This window comes from Homo sapiens, chromosome 20, assembly GCF_000001405.40.
Source record: "Homo sapiens chromosome 20, GRCh38.p14 Primary Assembly".
Classification (NCBI taxonomy): Eukaryota; Metazoa; Chordata; class Mammalia; order Primates; family Hominidae; genus Homo; species Homo sapiens.
In genome coordinates this window covers 41,367,885-41,386,790 of record NC_000020.11, presented here as the reverse complement: position 1 = coordinate 41,386,790, position 18,906 = coordinate 41,367,885, and the positions used below count along the sequence as shown (strand labels likewise).

The 18,906-nt window shown below is 49.3% G+C and overlaps 2 pseudogenes; one reads left to right on the top strand and one right to left on the bottom strand.

The window, feature by feature from the left end:
* On the bottom strand, positions 3,708 to 4,432 carry LOC100419859 (zinc finger MYM-type containing 1 pseudogene; annotated as a pseudogene).
* Positions 17,077 to 17,178, top strand: LOC124904985 (uncharacterized; annotated as a pseudogene).
* The last annotated feature ends 1,728 nt before the right edge of the window (positions 17,179 to 18,906 follow it).

Sequence of the window (18,906 nt, the reverse complement as noted above, 5' to 3'; positions counted from 1 at the left end):
TCCTGCTGGCTCCATCTTTGGAAGGCTCCTTTCCAATTTCATGTAAATATTCATTCAGCAAACACTTGTGTGCCTACTATGTGCTGCCAACTGCATATCATTCATATGGCCATGCCCCGCTTCTCCACTGAGCCTAAGCACCCCAACATGGCTTAAGAAAAAACATCCTGGACTTCCCTGGATTCTAAACAGCAACGCAAAACAGCCTGAGCCTCAGTTTCCTCAAACACAGAGCCCAAACGCCTTAGCTAGTCCCTAGAACTCCCTAGCACCCTCAAGGCCTCTTTCGGAATTGTCTCCCTACTCTTTCTTCCTGGGCATATTGGTGGGGGACACAAGGACAATTGACTTGGCATAGTCTCGTGGCAACCTTGATCTAGCAATGAAGAAAGATTTTATGAGAAATGTCTAGCTAATATTTTCAAATGGAAATTTTATCCCCCCCCCCAACACTTTATGATGAAAAATTTCAAACATACAGAAAAGTTGAAAGAATTATACAATGAGGCCAGGCACAGTGGCTCATGCCTGTAATCCCAGCACTTTGGGAGGCTGAGGCAGGCCGATCGCTTGAGTCCAGGAGTTCAAGACCAGCCTCTGCAACATGGTGAGACCCAACTCTTATAAAACAATACAAAAATGAGCTGGGTGTGGTGGCACACGCCTATAGTCCCAGTTATTCTTGAGGCTGAGGTGGGAGGATCGCTTGAGCCCAGGAGATGGAGGTTGCAGTGAGCTGAGATCACAACACTACCCCCCAGTCTGGGCAACACAGCAAGACCCTGTCTTAAAAAAAAAAAAAGAGAAAAGAAAAAGAAAAAGAAAGAAAAGAAAAGAAAGGGCTGGGCGCAGTGGCTCAAGCCTGTAATCCCAACACTTTGGGAGGCCGAGGCAGGTGGATCACTTGAGGCCAGGAGTTTGAGACCAGCCTGGCCAGCATGGCAAAACCCCGTCTCTACTAAAAAAATTCAAAAATTAGCCGGGCATGGTGGTGGGAACCTGTAATTCTAGCTACTCAGGAGCCTGAGGCAGAAGAATCCCTTGAACCTGGGAGGCAGAGGCTGTAGTGAGCCTAGATCACGCCACTGCACTCCAGCCTGGGCGACAGAGCAAGACTCCATCTCAATAATAATAATAATAATAATGATAATAATAATAATAATAATAATAATAATTGTACAGGGAATCCACCATCTAAATTCTGCAATTGTTGGTAGATTGCTATATGTGCATTTTCAAATATCTATCCATCTGTAGACCCAGCCATCAATTCAAAAGCTATTTGCAGACAGCAGTACACTTTATCCCTTAACAGTAGGCATGCATATTATTAACTAGAGTTCAATATTTGTTTCTGGTTTTCTTTGAGGCAAAATTAACAGACAATTAAATGCATAAATTGTACTATTCCATGTACCATGTGGACTACATGTTTTATTCCAGTGAGTTTGACAAATGTAGATACTTCTTTTTTTTTTTTATGAGACGGAGTCTTGCTCTGTCGCCAGGCTGGAGTGCAGTGGTGCAATCTCAGGTCACTGCAACCTCTGTTTCCTGGGTTCAAGCAATTCTCCTGCCTCAGCCTGCCGAGTAGCTGGGACTACAGGTGTGTGCCACCATGCCCAGCTAATTTTTGTATTTTTAGTAGAGACAGGGTTTCACCATGTTGGCCAGGATGGTCTCAGTCTCTTGACCTCGTGATCCACCCACCTCGGCCTCCCAGAGGGCTGGGATTACAGGCATGAGCCATCGCGCCCGGGCAACAAATGTAGATAACTTTTATAACCCAAACCCTATCACCAAATCCAATTTTCCATCAACCCCAGAAAGTCTCCCAAACCACTTCCTAGTATATCCCTAACCCACACTCCTCCCAGAGGCAACCACTATTCTGCTTATTTTCACCATAGTCTAGGTGTTGTGGGCTAATTGTGTTCTTCCAAAATCCATATGTTAAAGTCCTAATCCCTAGTACTGCAAAATGTGACTGTATTTGGAGGTTGGGTCTTTAAAGAGGTGATTACCTTAAAATGAGATCCTTAGGGTGGAACCTAATCCAATATGCCTGGTGTCTTTATAAGAAGAGGAAATTAGGACACAGATACACACAGAGGGACAACCACGTGGAAACACTGGGAGAAAACTACCATTTACAAGCCAAGGAGAGGGGCCTACGAAGAAACCACCCCTGCCAACACCTTGATAGAGGCTTCTGGCCTCCAGAACTGTGAGGAAACAAATTTCTGCTGTTTAAGCCACCCCGTCTTTGGTACTTTGTCATGGTAGCCCTAGCACAATAATACACTAAGTTTGTCTTTTCTAGAATTTCATATAAAGTCATTTGCTCTGTGCCCTTTTGTGTCAGGCTTTTTATTTTGCCCAGTGTAAGACTGTTGGGATTCATCCATGTTGCTACAAGAATCAGTACCTTGTTCCTTTTTATCGCTGAGTAGTATTCCATTATATTAATATTCCACAGTTTGTTTAGCCAGGCACATTTTTTATTTTTTTAAGAACAGAGGAATGGTTTGTCAGCATTTCACTTCAGTGTATGCCCTTTATGCCATCCCAGCAACAAACCAGACATTCCATGGCCCGCCCTATTCAGCAGGAGCTTCGGAACCATACGTGGATGTCTAACCATCCTGATAAAAGACATCATAACTCTGGGAAAGAAAAGTTCTTACAGATGAGATTAAATTAGTAGCACATCATTTTTATCTCAGCAAATATAGATGATCCATGATATCACAGGAGCCTCAGATCTTCATCCCTTTGGCTGCAAACTGAACACAGTGATTACACCGGCTTGGGAATCAGGCTAGGTTTGACTCTTACTTGCTTTGCAACCTTGGGCAGGTCACTTAACATCTCTGACCCCCACTTTCCTCCTACAGCAAATGGGACTAGTGATTTCTTCCTGCAGGGTTGCTTGAAGACTGAATGAACTAATGAATTCAGGGTGTGTATTAGTCCCTTTTCACACTGCTGGCAAAGGGATACCTGAGACTAGGTAATAAGAAAAAGAGATTTAATGGACTCACAGTTCCACGTGGCTGGGGAGGCCTCATAATCATGGCAGAAGGCAAAAGGCATGTCTTATATGGTGGCAAGCAAGAGAGAGAATGAGAACCAAGAGAAAGGGGTTTCCCCTTGTAAAACCATCAGATCTTGGCTGGGCGCAGTGGCTCATGCCTGTAATCTCAGCACTTTGGGAGGCCGAGGCGGGCAGATCACGAGGCCAGGAGTTCAAGACTAGCCTGGCCAACATGGTGACACCCCATCTCTATTAAAAACACAAAAATTAGCCAGGCATGGTGGTGCGTGCCTATGGTTCCAGCTACTCGGGAAGCTGAGGCCCAAGAATCGCTTGAACCTGGGAGGCAGAGATTGTAGTGAGCCAAGATTGCGCCATTGCACTCCAGCCTGGGCAATAGAGTGTACTCTGTCTCAAAAAAACAAAAAACTATCAGGTCTCGTGAGACTTATTCACTACCACAAGAACAGTATGGGGGAACCCACCCCCATGTTTCAGTTGTCTCCTACCCAGTCCCTCCCAATCCCATCCCTCCCGGGAGCTACAATTCAAGATGAGATTTGGGTGAAGAAACCGTATCAGGGTGGAAAAGGAAAGACTCAGGAAACATTCGATGTGATTTGTCTCACTCTGCAGCTGTTGGGGCCAGAGCCTGTCACTGGACAGAGCAGCAGAAGCGGGTTTCTAAGTCACTAAGAGTAGAAAATGAGCTTTCTGCACTGCTATTGTAATCGCTGAGACTAAGGAGCAGGGTAGTGAAGACAGTGTCAAATCATCAGGCTGCCAAGATCAATTAAGTTGATACAATCGTAGCAGAAGTGATCCTTTTGGAGTTTCATAAAACACACTCTGAATTGTGGGATTCAGAGTGCTTCCAGGCTGCACACATTTTGCACGTGTTTGACTATTTCTGTGTATTATTTTATTTCAACTGAATGGGACTGCTCAGAAATTTGCTTCACTTCAATATGATTATTTCTATGAAACTGTAACTTTAAATGTAATCTAGGAACCCATCCTTCATAAGAGACATTAATTTAATACTTTTCTTATGAGAAAGTAGGAAAAATGCATAATTGGAATTGCCATCATTTGTTTTATCTCAGCAGTTCTTTTCTTCTGAAGGAAACATTTTTCAACTTTGAAGTCCTTAGGAATTGGTTTTTGGCATCATTTCTCCACTCTGTCCCAGGTGGCCTTGAAAGGCTCATAATTTCTCTCAGATGGTGATCTTTTTTGGCTTTTAAAGGCAAAGAAAATGTCTACAGTTTCACTTTGAAGCTCTTTAGAAAAAAATCCTGGGACACTTATCATGTGGTTAAAAGAAAGTAAAACAAAAGATAAAATCAAATTTGGAATCAGTGATAGCAATTGTATACTTCGCTCACCTGCAAGAGCTGAAGAGTCATTTGTTACAACTTCCTGTGGTCTAATGGTATCTGAAAGTTCTTCATCGGCAGCTGAAGATGGACCGTGACGCCCAGTCCAATGTGTTTTCAAGAAATTGGCCGGGCGCGGTGGCTCACGCCTCTAATCCCAGCACTGTGGGCGGCTGAGGCGGGTGGATCACGAGGTCAGGAGATCGAGACCATTCTGGCTAACACGGTGAAAGCCCGTCTCTACTAAAAATATAAAAAATTAGCTGGGCATGGTGGCGGGCGCTTGTAGTCCCAGCTACTGGGGAGGCTGAGGCGGAAGAATGGCGTGAACCTGGGAGGCGGAGGTTGCAGTGAGCCGAGATCGCTCCACTGCACTCCAGCCTGGGTGACAGAGCAAGACTCCGTCTCAAAGGAAAAAAAAAAAAAGAAATCACCCTGTTCCCTGCACACTTCATCTTCACCCACGTCCAAAGGTTTGGAAAACTCTTTTGGTGGGTACATGGTGTTGTGCCAAGGAGAGAACTGAGAGCATTTAAGGTTTTTGTTTTTTGTTTGTTTGTTTGTTTGTTTGTTTTTTGAGACGGAGTTTCACTCTTGTTGCCCAGACTGGAATGCAATGGCGCGATCTCGGCTCACCGCAACCTCCACCTCCCAGGTTCAAGCAATTCTCCTGCCTCAGCCTCCCAAGTAGCTGGAATTACAGGCATGCACCATCACACCCGGCTAATTTTGTATTTTTAGTAGAGACGGGGTTTCTCCATGTTGAGGCTGGTCTTGAACTCCTGACCTCAGATGATCCGCCCGCCTCGGCCTCCCAAAGTGCTGGGATTACAGGCGTGAGCCACCGCACCCAGCCAAGGTTTATTCTTTTCCTCACAAAATGCTATAATTACCACAACAAAAAAATGTGCGGAATTCCTCAGAACTCCTTCAATGTCACTCAATTTTCTATGCATGCTAGATACATCATCATAGACCTAGTAAATTTTAAAAAAAACTGATTTTATTCAAATCCATTCCATTTTGCTTTTTATTTTTTTCTGATATACTTTTGCAAGTATAAGTAAACTTTTGATTGATCCCAGTCATCTCTTCAATATCATGAAACCCAAGAACTTCTCTTTAATTAAACCTCCAGGGTGAAGGCAGCCTGACCGCCCTGCTGCCCTCCTTTCCAATATCCAATGGGCTCCCACAGCAGAGCTCCTGGGTCAGCCAGCAGCCAGGCCTGGTCGGTTGGACAGGGCCTTTGTCTTGATAGCTCTGGCTTAGGACTTAGTCTCCCTCTGGGGCAGACAGTAGGGACCCGCAGCAGAGAGAGCCCTGGGTGAGAATGGGATCTCCAAGGCTCCAAAGAGAGAACTTGGCGCAGGGATGCACAGAGGAGAGCAGAGCCAGCAGCTTTGGGTGGTCCTGGGAGGCCCTGCAGAATCCCTCCCTGCCCCGAGGCTGGGAGACGGGGATGCAGAGCAGCAGAATGAGCAGAGCGCTCTCTCCTGGGATACAGAGAGGTGCAGCCAATTTGTCAGCTGGATCTGAGCCTTGGAGATGATTAGGGCTGCAAGAAGGCAGAAAGACAGTTGGCACCTAAGGGAATCCAGCGGCCAGGAAGGAAGAGCCTGCAATTCACTCAGCACTGCAAGAGGAGACCAACCACAACTTGCATAACAGGAAAAGCAAACAAAACCATAAGCTCACATTTTAAAAAATCAAAGGCATTGGGCAGCCAAGGCGGGCGGATCACAAGGAGTTCGAGACCAACCTGGCCAACATAGTGAAACCCCGTCTCTACTAAAAATAAAAAAAGTAGCCGGGCCTGGTGGCGGGCGCCTGTAATCCCAGCTACTCAGGAGGCTGAGGCAGGAGAATCGCTTGAAACCGGAAGGCAGAGGTTGCAGTGAGCCGAGATCACGCCACTGCACTCCAACCTGGGTGGAAGAGCGAAACTCCATCTCAAAAATAAAATAAAATAGTCAAAGGTGAAATCAAATACTTTCCTGAACGAAGAAACATCGTTTTCAATTTAAAATGACTTGGAGGAGAGGAAACCATGTGGAAGAGATAATGCAAAACCCAAAGTAAAAATCTAAAAGCGCCTCAGAGGAGAGAGATCCAGGAGTTGTAATAGGTGAATGATGAAAATAAGAATAAAAATCTCAGAAAAAAGAAGAAATAGAAGAGAAGCAATCATTTTTAAATGAGAAAGAAAATTTTCCGTGGTTTGAAGAACGTCTTGGGTTTGCAGATTAAAAGGCTCATTGAGTTCCAGGCAGGAATGATGGAAAAAAGACACACATCTAGGCATAGCCTGGTAAGGTTCCTGAATTCCACGATTAAAGAGAAAATTCAGACAAGCTTCCCTAATGAGAAAATAAGTTGCATAGAAAGAAGAGAATCAGACTGAAATCGTACATCTTATTTGCAAGCTAGAAACCAATATGAATCACCTCCACAGACCACTCAGAGAAAAGCCTCCTAAACCAACCAGGTTGCCATTCACCTTCCTAGGATAGAAGAAATGCAAAGGTCCACATAATTTTCCCATATGGGGGAAATACCATAGAAAGGAATCTAATCAGGAAATAGATGAATCAGATTGGAGACAAGGAGATGAAGAAAAGAGGAACCTGTGGTGAGCCGTGAGCTGACCAAATCATGTACAATTACCTCCGAATAAATAATGATAGGATGGAATTTGTAATGTAAGGGCTAAATAAGTATATTTTTTTAAACAGAAGAGAGATGCAATAAGAATTTCCCTAAAGGGAAAGTGCTGAATGATGGCAAAGTTAGGCATTGAGGAGGGGAAAGGGAGCCTGAAAAGGCATTTTACATATCTCCTATTGCCTGAGGGAGGAGAAACAGGGAGAAGAGCTCTCTGGTGAGAGGAATTAACTGGTACCTTGTTGCTATGAGTTTCTTTTTAATGAAAATCAGAAAAGGCAAGGTCAGTACTTGCGGACAGCAGCATCTAGCAGAGCTTCCAAAATAAGAAGGGAAAAAGAAGAATGACAGGTGTCTATTGTCAATTGTTCCATCTTTAAGAAAAAATTTAAGACTTTATTACGGAACCATTATATATATAATATATAATATATATTTTACATATATATATGTATGTATATGTATATATAGAGAGAGGTTTTCACCATGTTGGCCAGGCTGGTCTTGAACTCCTGACCTCAAGTGAGCGGTCTGCCTCAGTCTCCCAAAGTGCTGGGATTACAGGCTGGTCAATTATGGAAACTTCTGAACACACACCACACAAAAGGGGAGCCATAACATATTGAATCCCTGTGGACCTAACACTAGGGTCCAATGACTCCTTTTTTAAAAGCTGGGGATACATTGACAGATATAAAACCCTGTAATGTATCAGTTTTTATTTTCCCCAGCATTCCATTTAGAATCTGTACACTTTTGCAAAGATCACCACTCATCTTCATTGATCAAAAGGTTTCTTTTCCTATAATTTTTTTTTGAGATGGAGTCTTGCTCTGTCTCCTGGGCTGAAGTGCAGTGGTGCAATCTCGGCTCACTGCAACCTCCGCCTCCCGGGTTAAGCAATTCTCCTGCCTCAGCCTCCTGAGTAGCTGGGACTACAGGTGTGCACCACCACGCCCAACTAATTTTTGTATTTTTAGTAGAGGCGGGGTTTCACCATGTTGGCAAGGCAGGTCTCAAACTCCTGATCTCAGGTGATCCACCTGCCTCGGCCTCCCAAAGTGCTAGGATTACAGGCGTGAGCCACCACACCCGGCCTAATGGGCGATATCAACCAGCATTTATCTTCACACGGTAAGAGACACCTGTCTTGGACAGTATCATTCGCTCTCTGCCTCTATTGTAGTGCCAGGTGATAGTGATTCTGGAAAACTCTGGGCCATCACTTAACTCCTTGGGTGAGTTCTTGCTGGAAAATGACAACAGACTGTGTCTTACCTCATCACAGTTACCTTGGTCAAGATGTCAAGAAGTAAAGAGTAGGAAATATTTGTAAGCACAGCGATAAACAAGCCAGGCACGTGGGCAGGTGGACACCAGCAAGGTAGAGAAATGTCAGCATCAATTTGTTCCCAGACATTCAGTTTTCTTCCTTTGTTCTTCTTTCCAGTGAAAATGTGATTTTTTTTTACATTGCCACAAAGCAAATAGTCACATTTTACAATTCCGAAGCCCCTGCCAGGTTTCTGTTGATTTTTTTTGTTTGTTTGTTTTTTCAAGACTGTCTCTTGCTCTGTCACCCAGGCTGGAGTGCAGTGGTGCGATCTCGGCTCACCGCAACCTCTGCCTCCCAGGTTCAAGCAATTATCATGCCTCTAACTCCTGAGTAGCTGGGATTACAGACACGTGCCACCACGCCTGGCTAATTTTTTGTATTTTATTGGTAGAGACGAGGTTTTGCCATGTTGGCCAGGCTGGTCTTGAACTCCTGGCCTCAAGTGATCCACTTGCCTCAGCCTCCCAAAGTGCTGGGATTACAGGCATGAGCCACCAAGCCCAGTCATGTTTCTGTTGATTCTAAATTTGGTTTTCCCTAGGAAACTGGTTGGGGAGCAGCAATCCTTACTCCCACCAGGTTCCCTCTCCCTCCCTAGATCCACACTTACAGCCCTGGACAGGCCCCTGTAGGCAACGTTTTGGCCCCACCCTCAAACTGCTGGGGGGCTGTGGCCAAGGGGCAGTCACCAGAGCCTTGCAGCCACCGCAGAGGCTATGGTCTAGCCTGTCCTCAAACCTTCACTTCTCCTCAGCCTCATCTAAATATTCCTCCATCCTCTCTCCAGATCTCAGGAGAAAACCTCACTTCCCGTTCAGACCAATAAGCAGAGGTCATTTCTGCTTCCTGCCACCCCGTCAGCCCCCGCCACACCTGCAGGTACTCTGCCTCCCAGCCTGTCTGCCGCCTCCTCCTCCTCCTGCCCCTCTTCCCTCCAGCCTGGGTCCTGCCTGCTAGGGGCCTTGCTTTCCTCTCTCTGGCTCCCTCCCCTTTGCCTAGAAACATCTCAGCTCTTCCAGCTCAGCACCCTACCCTTCCCTGGACTCACTCATTCTCCTTCAGCTGCCTTCGACTTCTTCCTGCCCCCTCCCCACAGTCACTGCCTCCACTCCATGACTCCCTCACCTCCACCCTGCTTCCACCCAACTTGGTCCAAGAAGAGGGCACCACCACCTTCCCTCTGGGTTGTGAACTCCAACTCTTCACCTATAGCTTCTCTGAGTCTCTTGGAAACTCCTCCCTCTCTTGCTCTCTTATCTTGGCTGGTGTCTCTCTCTCTCTCTCTGTGTCTCTGTCTCCCCCCGCCATCCCGCCATCTTTCTCCCTCTCTCTCTCCCCTCCTCTTCCACCCCCCTCCTCCAGCTCCTCTGACCACATCTTTCTGATCTCCTTCACTGAATCATTTTCCTTAGTTTTCGCCTTAAATGTCCCCAGTTTTCTTCTTACACCACACAAACTCCTTTGCTTGTTTGTTTGTTTTTTGAGACAGAGTCTCACTCTGTTGCCCAGGCTAGGGTGCAATGCAAAGATCTCAGCTCACCGCAACCTCCGCCTCCCAGGTTCAAGCGATTCTCCTGCCTCAGCCTCCTGAGTAGCTGGGATTACAGGTGTGCACCACCATCCCTGGCTAATTTTTGTATTTTTAGTAGAGATAGGCTTTCACCATGTTGGCCAGGCTGGTCTCAAACTCCTGACCTCAAATGATTCAACTGCCTCGGCCTCCCATAGTGCTGGGATTACAGGCGTGAGCCACTGTGCCCGGCCTACAAACTCCTTTGGAGATCTCTTCATTCCCATTGCCTTTATTTTTGCTGATGAGTTAAATTCTCTCCAATTTCAAAGAAATGAGATGGGGCAGGTTTTGAACATTCAGCTGGTTTTGTTGTAAAACTTTTTTTGGGGGGTTGTCTCTATTTTCCCTTGTATTAGGAGTCATTTGGCCCATTCTTCTGGGGAGGGTGACTCTCGTCTGGTTGGAACCTAGACGTCTCCCCTCTCTTCCCAGGAATGCTGCCCTGGCTGGCACACTTGAGTGTCTAAGGTCAGGCCCTCAAGGTGGGGGAAACCCGTTTCTCTCCTGCTGACAATTTGGGCTCCAGGTATAATGGGCAATCAAAGCTCTTCCTGATTATGGGAAAAGGAGAAGAATGAGGTTTGCGGGAGGAGAAAGGGAGGGTCCCTGGGAAGGAGATGGTGAGAAGAGAGGCTAGGGATGGGGGAAAGGACGAAAAACCCACGAGGGACCCAAAGCTGGAAGGGTGGTCAGTGGTGCGGCAGCCGCCTGGGAAGTGCCAGGCCCGTGGAACAGGGAAGGATGGCCTCGGGGCAGCAGAGGGGCTGTGGCCTCAGCCAGCCGTGCCTTCTGACCAAGTGCCTTCATCAGCTATCTGGGAGGAGGGGTCACAAGGACAGCCAGTCAGCGACTTCCCTGTGGCTCTAACAGGAGCCCTGGACAGCAGTGGGGTAGGGTGGGCCTCTGACCTTGCACTACAGTATGCTCTGGCCCCCTGCCCTGCCCCCAGCTTCAAAGGGGCAGCCAACAAATGGGACACCTTAACAGTGTGCATATCCTGCTGCCCTCCAGACAGCCTTCTCCCCCGGGGTACCTGAAGGCACCTCCAATTCAGTGTGGCTTCCCTCCAGACTGGTGTACCCCTCTGTCCTTGTCTCAGCAAAAGAGACCCCCCATGCCAGAAACCTGTAGTCATCCTGGAGCCCCTCAAAAGTCAAAAGGCCTCATCGCCTGGATACTTTCAGCTGGTCCCTTCCATCCTCACCAACATGGTTCCAGCCTTCACCCTGGCTCAGGCACCTGCACTGCCACCTAACTGGCACTACCAACCACCCACTCCATGGTGGGCAGCTGGGGGATGATGGGGCTCTTCATGAGGCCAGAGAAACAGGAGGAGGATGGAGAGAGGGAGGGAGAGGGAGGGGAGGGGAGACTGTGACTGGAGGTGGGACTGTGGTGATATGGCCAGGGAGGAAGATACCCTAATCCCAGTGCAGCCCCTGGGGCAAGGGAGGGAAGGAAAGGATACAGTCCCCGCCATGGGAGCCTCCTGTCCGCTCTTTCCCAAAGGAACTAGGGCTGCTGGCCAACACCAGCATAGCCAGGAATGTGGGAGCCCTGGCTGCAAAGACTCAACCTGGGGAAGGCCTCAAAGGTCACATGGCAAGGGCAGGTGGGTGGGACCCGGGCAAAAGGAGAAGGCTGGGCTGCTCTGGAGGGGAAAGGGGTGTCAGAAGGTCAGGCCCTGGCAGGGACCCCTTTTGAATAGACGCCAGATATATCATCTAGCCCTAAGCATAAGACAGAATCCTGGGGCCCCACCAGGGTGGGGCCCATGACCCTGACCTTAGCCCTGAGCCTTCTCCAGCCAGCTCATTGAAGGCTGGTGACTCTCTCTCCAAAATGCCCACCCTCTCTCATCTCCAGCATCTCTTGCCTGGATGCCAGTGCCAGCCTGCCTAGTGCCATCTCCTCATGGCTACAGAATGACCCATCTAACACCCACGGTCCATTCATCTGGCAAACTTGGGCAAGAGATGGCCCCCCGCATCCAGGACTGCCAGTCTGGATTGGAGCTCGACTCAGAAATAGACAATGGCAGTGGCACTAGGAAGTGGTCTGGAGTGGATTCAAGGGGCTGAAGGCCAAGCATCAAAATGCAGCAACCCCCAGCCTCCTCAAGTCCTCAGCCTGCACGCAGCCCTCTCCCCTCCTGCCATGTCCCCTCCTAAGTCCCCTCCCTCTGATTGGAGCATGTGTCTCCCACCATGGATGCTCTTTCCCCTCTCACCTCCCCAGGCCCCTTTCTGGCCCCTCCTGGGGCTTCTCTAACTCTCATCCACCTCTGCCCCTCTGGATGCCTTGAGCACAGAGCCTGGAGCCGACCTGTCTGTGCTTCCAGCACCGGGTGCCCAGCAAATGTCCCAGCAAATTAAGGAATTAAGGCAGAGCAGGTCTGAGATAAGGACAGTGTCTGGGTGAAGGTCAGGTTCTGCCTGTCCAAGCATGAGTCTTCCATGGCAACACCCTCCCCTTCCTTCCCCCCATGGAGGGTAGCCCCCTCCCCTGCTTGTTTTGGCCTCTCTGCACACACCCTGCATTGCAAGCCTGCCTCCCCCATCACCAGTGGGTAATCTTGTGTAGTTTTTACTCTGGTGTCCATGAATAGAAGAGTTAGAGGAGAGCTGATGGTGAGCCCTTCCCAGGGCCTTGCAACCACACCCCCGCATCAATGCCTGAGCAGCTCTGCACTCTACTCCCCCGCCCCCAGCCTCTCCCCATCCCTGTCCTAATCAGGCCTGGAGGCCAGCCCCTCCAGCAAGGGGCAGCCCCAGGTCCTTACTGGGGTCAGGCCAGCTGTGCCACATACTCTGGTCAGTGTCCGGACCTTCCAACTGGAGGCTCAGCCTGGCTCTAGCTGTGGTGGGCACAGGGAATGCAGACCCCTGCCCTGTACAGCTCATTCAACCCTGCCTCAGCCCTGATGTTTTGTCTCCTCTCTTTGTGGTACCTTCTAGACTCCTTCCCACACCCAGAGCCCCAGATTAGCCACCAAGGCCTTTTAGTCCTTTGTCCTGAAAGCCTCTAGAATCTAGCCCTGTTCCTCATCCCTCGGTCCCTGTTAGCCTGGTGGCTGACAGCTGCCAGGGCCACCCCACCGGCACCCCACCTCGTGTGTCTGCTCCACACAGCTGCAGCCACAGGATGTTTTTCCCGACAGTTCTGCATGCATCGTTTCCAGCTGTAAAGTCCAGACTTTTCACTGGGGTATTCAAGGCCCCTCTTGTCTGGCCCCTGCCAACCTCTCTTGGAGCCTGGGCTACCCAGAGCTCTGCGGGGTTCCCCATACATACCAGGCTCTCTCCTGCCTCCAGGCCATGCACATGCCGCACCCACCACCCACGGTGCTTTCTCCCCGTGCGGTGAACTCTAGTGTTGCCTGTTTTGTGAAACACCCTCTGATCCCTTCCCCCAAGCTCAGGCACCCAGGCACTTCTTCCTCTGTGAGCCCACGCTACCCTATGGTTCCTGACTATACAAGTTCATGTCCCCCTCTGCATGCAGGTCTGTCCCCCTCTCTTGGGTTGGGTTCCACAAAAGCAGATCCTGAGACAGGGATCTAGTTATAAGTCATTTATCAAGGGGGCTCCTGGGAGAGATACATAAGGGAGGTAGGAAAACAGGAGAGGATGGAAATAGAGCAAGAATGGATCCCAGGTAGAGTCTAGAGGGGCCTGACCAAGGGGGCTCTGCAACATAAACTAACACTGGGCTGTCCACCATGAGGCGAGGAGGCTGCCTTTTTTGTCCCCCTGTATATTAGTCCATTTTCACACTGCTGATAAAGACATATTCTAGACTGGGCAGTTTACAAAAGAAAGAGGTTTATTGGACTTACAGCTACGTGGCTGGGGAGGCCTCACAATCATGGTGGAAGGTGAAAGGCACATCTCACATGGCGGCAGACAAGAAAAGAGCGCTTGTGCAGGGAAACTCCCCTTTTTAAAACCATCAGATCTTGTGAGACTGAATCACTATCATGAGAACAGTGCAGGAAAGACCTGCCCCCATAATCCAATCACCTCCCACCAGGTTCCTCCCACGACACATGGGAATTGTGAGAGTTACAATTCAAGATGAGATTTGGGTGGGGACACAGCCAAACCATTTCACCCTATCAGCCAGTCACTCCTCAGCCAAGGGCAATTCACAGAAGGGGCAGCTGGGAGCATTCCCAGTAATCACACCTGCAGCCAGGGGATTCATGGGTACACTGACCAGGGAAAGGGAGTCTGGCTGGGGTACCCACAGCACCCCTGTTGAGTGTGACCTCTGCCAGATTTCTTGACGAGTGAGAGGTACATGGATTCCTGGTCCATCCAAGCACTGACATTTTCCAAACCCAGAGCTGCATGTGCTGCTTTGCAAGAAGGTCCTGCCCACAGCCTGAGGGGGCACAGCTGCTACTGCAGTGACTAGAAAGGAGGCCCAGATATCCAACCCCCAAGAAAGGACTCTGTGCAGAGCCCTGCCACACTCACTGGGCGTCTGTTATGTGCACGACTGTGCACATGGGAGCCTTGGCCAAAGTTCTCATCTATTCCTCATAATAATCATTTTCGTATAGGAAAGCAGAGGCTCAGAGGGGTGAAGTGACTCAAGGGAGGTCATGCAACTTGTGAGTGGAAGAGCTGGGATTCAAACCTGAGTCTAATTGACTCCTTGCCTGATTTCTTCCCCACAGTGTGTGAACCACCTTGGAGCAAAGCCCTTCCTGCCCACCATAAGAAAACTGGCAAGTCCTAGCTAGGTGCAGTGGCTCATGCCTGTAATCCCAGCACTTTGGGAGGCCAAGGCAGGTGGATCACTTGAGGTCAAGAGTTCAAGACCGGCCTGGCCAACATGGTGAAACCCCATCTCTACTGAAAATACAAAAATTAGCTGGGCGTGGTGGCTCACGCTTGTAGTGCCAGCTACTCCAGAGGCTGAGGCACGAGAATGACTTGAACCTGGGAGTCGGAGGTTGCAGTGAGCCAAGATCACGCCACTGCACTCCAGCCTGGGCAACAGAGTGAGACTCAGTCTCAAAAAAAAAAAAAGAAACTGGCAAGTCCAGGGTGATCTCTCTGCCCCACAACAGGTCTCAGCTAAACTTAGGGTCCTCAAGGACCATATCTGGCATTTGCAATAGTTGGGAGACCTGTGCATGTATTTTGTATATAATTTGCGTAATGTTGCATCTGGTTTGCATATGTCCATGTTGACAGTCCATCAGCAGTCACAATTTCTAAGCTGTTCCTAAGCTACTCTCACTCAATGGAAGTCCGTCCAGGCTTTACAGAGCCCAGTTTCCACGATTTCTGGACTCTTCCAGGACCTTGCCTCCAGGCTGCACATCTATCCCCCCTAGGATCCTGGACGAGCCCTGCTTCTGCCTAGCTGGATGGGGTCAGTGCAAACCCCTGCCTCAGAAACTCATGTGCATTTGGTATAACCTTTTATGATGGTGCAGATATAATCAAAATGCTGATGGTGATGATGTGGAGAAAAAAGTGAGCCTGGGCAAAGAGCCTTGCTGCACAGAACTTCCAAATGTGGCTCTGTGGGCAGGGAGGCCTAGCTGTGCACTCTCAAAAAAGAAAAAAAAAGAGGGTAAGGGAGATGGTCAGGGACAAAGGGCTGCACCTTAGGGCTGGTGCCTTCAAGGGCTGTGGTCCCTGTGCAGGAGGGGTCCATCTGCAGCAGGAAGAGCTTGTACCAGAAAGCCAGCAGCTTCAGTGCTTTCTATTTCTGTCTCTTTTAGGGGAACTGCATCCCATACAACTTTGTGTGGTTTTTAATACTCTTATGTGCTGGGCCCTCAATAAGAAAAGGAAAGGCCAGATGTGGTGGCTCATGCCTGTAATCCCAGCACTTTAGGAGGCCAAGGTGGGCGGATCATTTGAGACCAGCCTGGCTAACATGGCGAAACCCTGTCTCTACTAAAAAAAAAAAAAAGAAATACAAAAAATTAGCCAGGCGTGGTGGCATGTGCCTGTAATCCCAGCTGCTTGGGAGGCTGAGTCAGGAGAATTGCTTGAACCTGGGAGGCAGAGGTTGCAGTGAGCCGAGATCACGCCACTGCACTCCAGCCTGGGCAACAGAGTGAGACTCCGTAAAAAAAAAAAAAGAAAAGAAAAAAAAGAAAAGAACAGAAAAGAAAGGCAGGATGCATAGGGCTCACCCCTGCAGTCCCAATACTTTGGGAGGCCAAAGCAGGAGGATCACTTGAGGCCAGGAGTCTGAGACTAGCCTAGGCAGCATAGTGAGACCCCATCTGTACGAAAGGAAAAACTCATGCACATGCATGATAGTGGTATGGGGGATGGGTTGGGTGTGGTTGTGCATGTCCCTGTGAACTGAAACTGCACTCCCACTCCCGTGTATGGCCCGTTTCCATCCAGGTGTAGAAACTCCAGTCTGAGTCAGAGGAACATGACTGCCTCCTTTCCTCCTCTGCTTCTGGCCTCCCTAGGTTTCCTGTCTGGCAGATGCAAAGTGGCCTCATCGTCTATGGGGGGACCCCCGCTCTGGCCTGATCCAGCCAAGACCCTGAGCATCTCCCTGTACTGAGGTCCTCCACCCCCACTAGAATGGGGCCCAGATCCTGGATCCCAAAACTGTTGCAGTGAAAGAGGGAGCATGGTGTTTGATGTCAGCCACCTGGGAAAGGGGGAAGTGGGGTCCAGCTATCCTTTTAGCCCCTATGACGTGGATATTTCCAAGCTCAAACAGGGTCCAGCCTCTTCCTTGTGAGTTTTGGGCCCCACATCTGGGGCTGGGGAAGGGAGTGAGAGGAAGGGGTGGGACCACTTGGAAAAAGATCACAGCCTCTGGGGTGGGGGAGTTCCTCCCAGAGCCAGGCTGGGCAATGCTGCCAGGCAGTCAGCACCCAGCCTAGGATGAGGAGCTGGCTCAGATGTTTCTCACTTCCTAAAAAGCGCAAAGTCAGTGGTTACAAGATCAAGAGCTTGTTGGGGATATGGTGTATCTTGCCCTCAGCAAAATGGTTCATAACATCTCTCTTAGAGGTTGGAGCATATAATAGCACATTCGGTGCTTTTATAGGGAGAGTGAAAGGCTGTCTTAGGGACCATGTGGTTGCTGTAAGACTATACTTTCAGGGATCATTTCTACAGTTCATGACTAGAGAAGTTTCTCTCTGTAGAGCACATTTGGTTGCTGGGATCAGAAACCCATTCAAGCTAGCTCCAATGGTGGACTACTGGAAGCAGATAGGGAAGTCACAGCTTGTCCCCAGATGGTTACTCACCACATAGCCCCTGACTCTGCCCCTCTCTCCCCTGACCACACTCTTTCTCCCTTTCCCATGATTCCCCCAGAGCTCTCGTGGTCTCTCCTATCATTACCAGCCAAGTGCCCCTGTAGTGGATTGAATTGTGCCCCTCCCAAAATTCATGAACATTTGGAACCTCAGAATGTGACCTTATTTGGAAATAGGGTCTTTGTAGACGTAATCATTTGAGATGAGGTTATGTTGGGCTGTACATCCAATGACTGGTGTCCTTATAAGAAGAGGAGGCTGGGCTGGGTGCAGTGGCTCACGCCTAGAATCCTAGCAATTTGGGAGACTGAGGTGAGAGCATCACTTGAGCTCAGGAGTTTGTGACCAGCTTGGGCAACAAAGTGAGAGCCCATCTCTACAGAAATTTTAAAAATGAGCTGTGCATGGTGGTGCACAACTGTGGTCCCAGCTACAGAGGAGGTGGGGGCAGGAGGATCACTTGAGCTCAGGAGGTCGACGCTGCATTCCAGCCTGGGTGATGGAGCTAGACCTTGTCTCTATTTATTTATTTATTTATGGAGATGGAGTTTCGCTCTTGTCACCCAGGCTGGAGTGCAATGGCATGATCTCGGCTCATTGCAACCTCCACCTCCAGGGTTCAAGTGATTCTCTTGCCTCAGCCTCCCAGGTAGCTGGGATTACAGGCGCCCGCCACCACGCCCGGCTAATTTTTTTATTTTTAGTAGAGATGGGGTTTCACCATATTGGCCAGGCTGGTCTCAAACTCCTGACCTCAGGTGATCCCCCCACCTCGGCCTCCCAAAGTGCTGGGATTACAGGCATGAGCCATCGCGCCCAGCCCTGTCTCAAATTTAAAAACACAACCAGAAAGGCAGGGCGCGGTGGCTCACGCCTGTAATCCTAGCACTTTGGGAGGCCGAGGCGGACGGATCACGAGATCAGGAGATCGAGACCATCCTGGCTAACACGGTGAAACCACGTCTCTACTAAAAAAAAAAAAAAAATACAAAAAAATTAGCTGGGCATTATGGCGGGCGCCTGTAGTCCCAGCCACTCGGGAGGCTGAGGCAGGAGAATGGCGTGAACCCGGGAGGCAGAGCTTGCAGTGAGCCGAGATCGCGCCACTGCACTCCAGCCTGGGCGACAGAGCGAGACTCTGGCTCAAAAAACAAAAACAGAAAGAAGAGGAAAGGACACAGATCACAGTCACAGAGAAAAAAAGGTCACCTGAAGAGGGATATGCGGAGGGAAAGTAGAGGCTGGAGTGATGCTGCTACAAAGAATCCTTGACCAAAGAACGCCAGAGATTGCCAGGAACCACCAGTGGCTGGAAGAGGCAAGGAAGGCTTCTCCCCAGAGCCACTGGAGGGGGCATTGCCCTGCTGGCCCATGGATTTTGGAGTTAGCCTCCAGAAATGTGCAAGAATACATTTCTGTGTGTTAAGCCACTGAGTCTGTGGCTGTTACCACAGCCCTGAGAAACTCACACAACCTACACCTGGAAGCTGGATTCCTTCAGCTTCTGTGTTCTGATTCCAAAGCCTGGGGGAAAGCAGGATGGGCCTAGCTGGGGTCAGATGTCCGCCCCACAGAACCCAAAAGCCACTAAAGCTAAGGGCAGGAAATAGATGTGGGTTTCGGAGCTGCCCCTTCCAGTATCCTTGATAACCA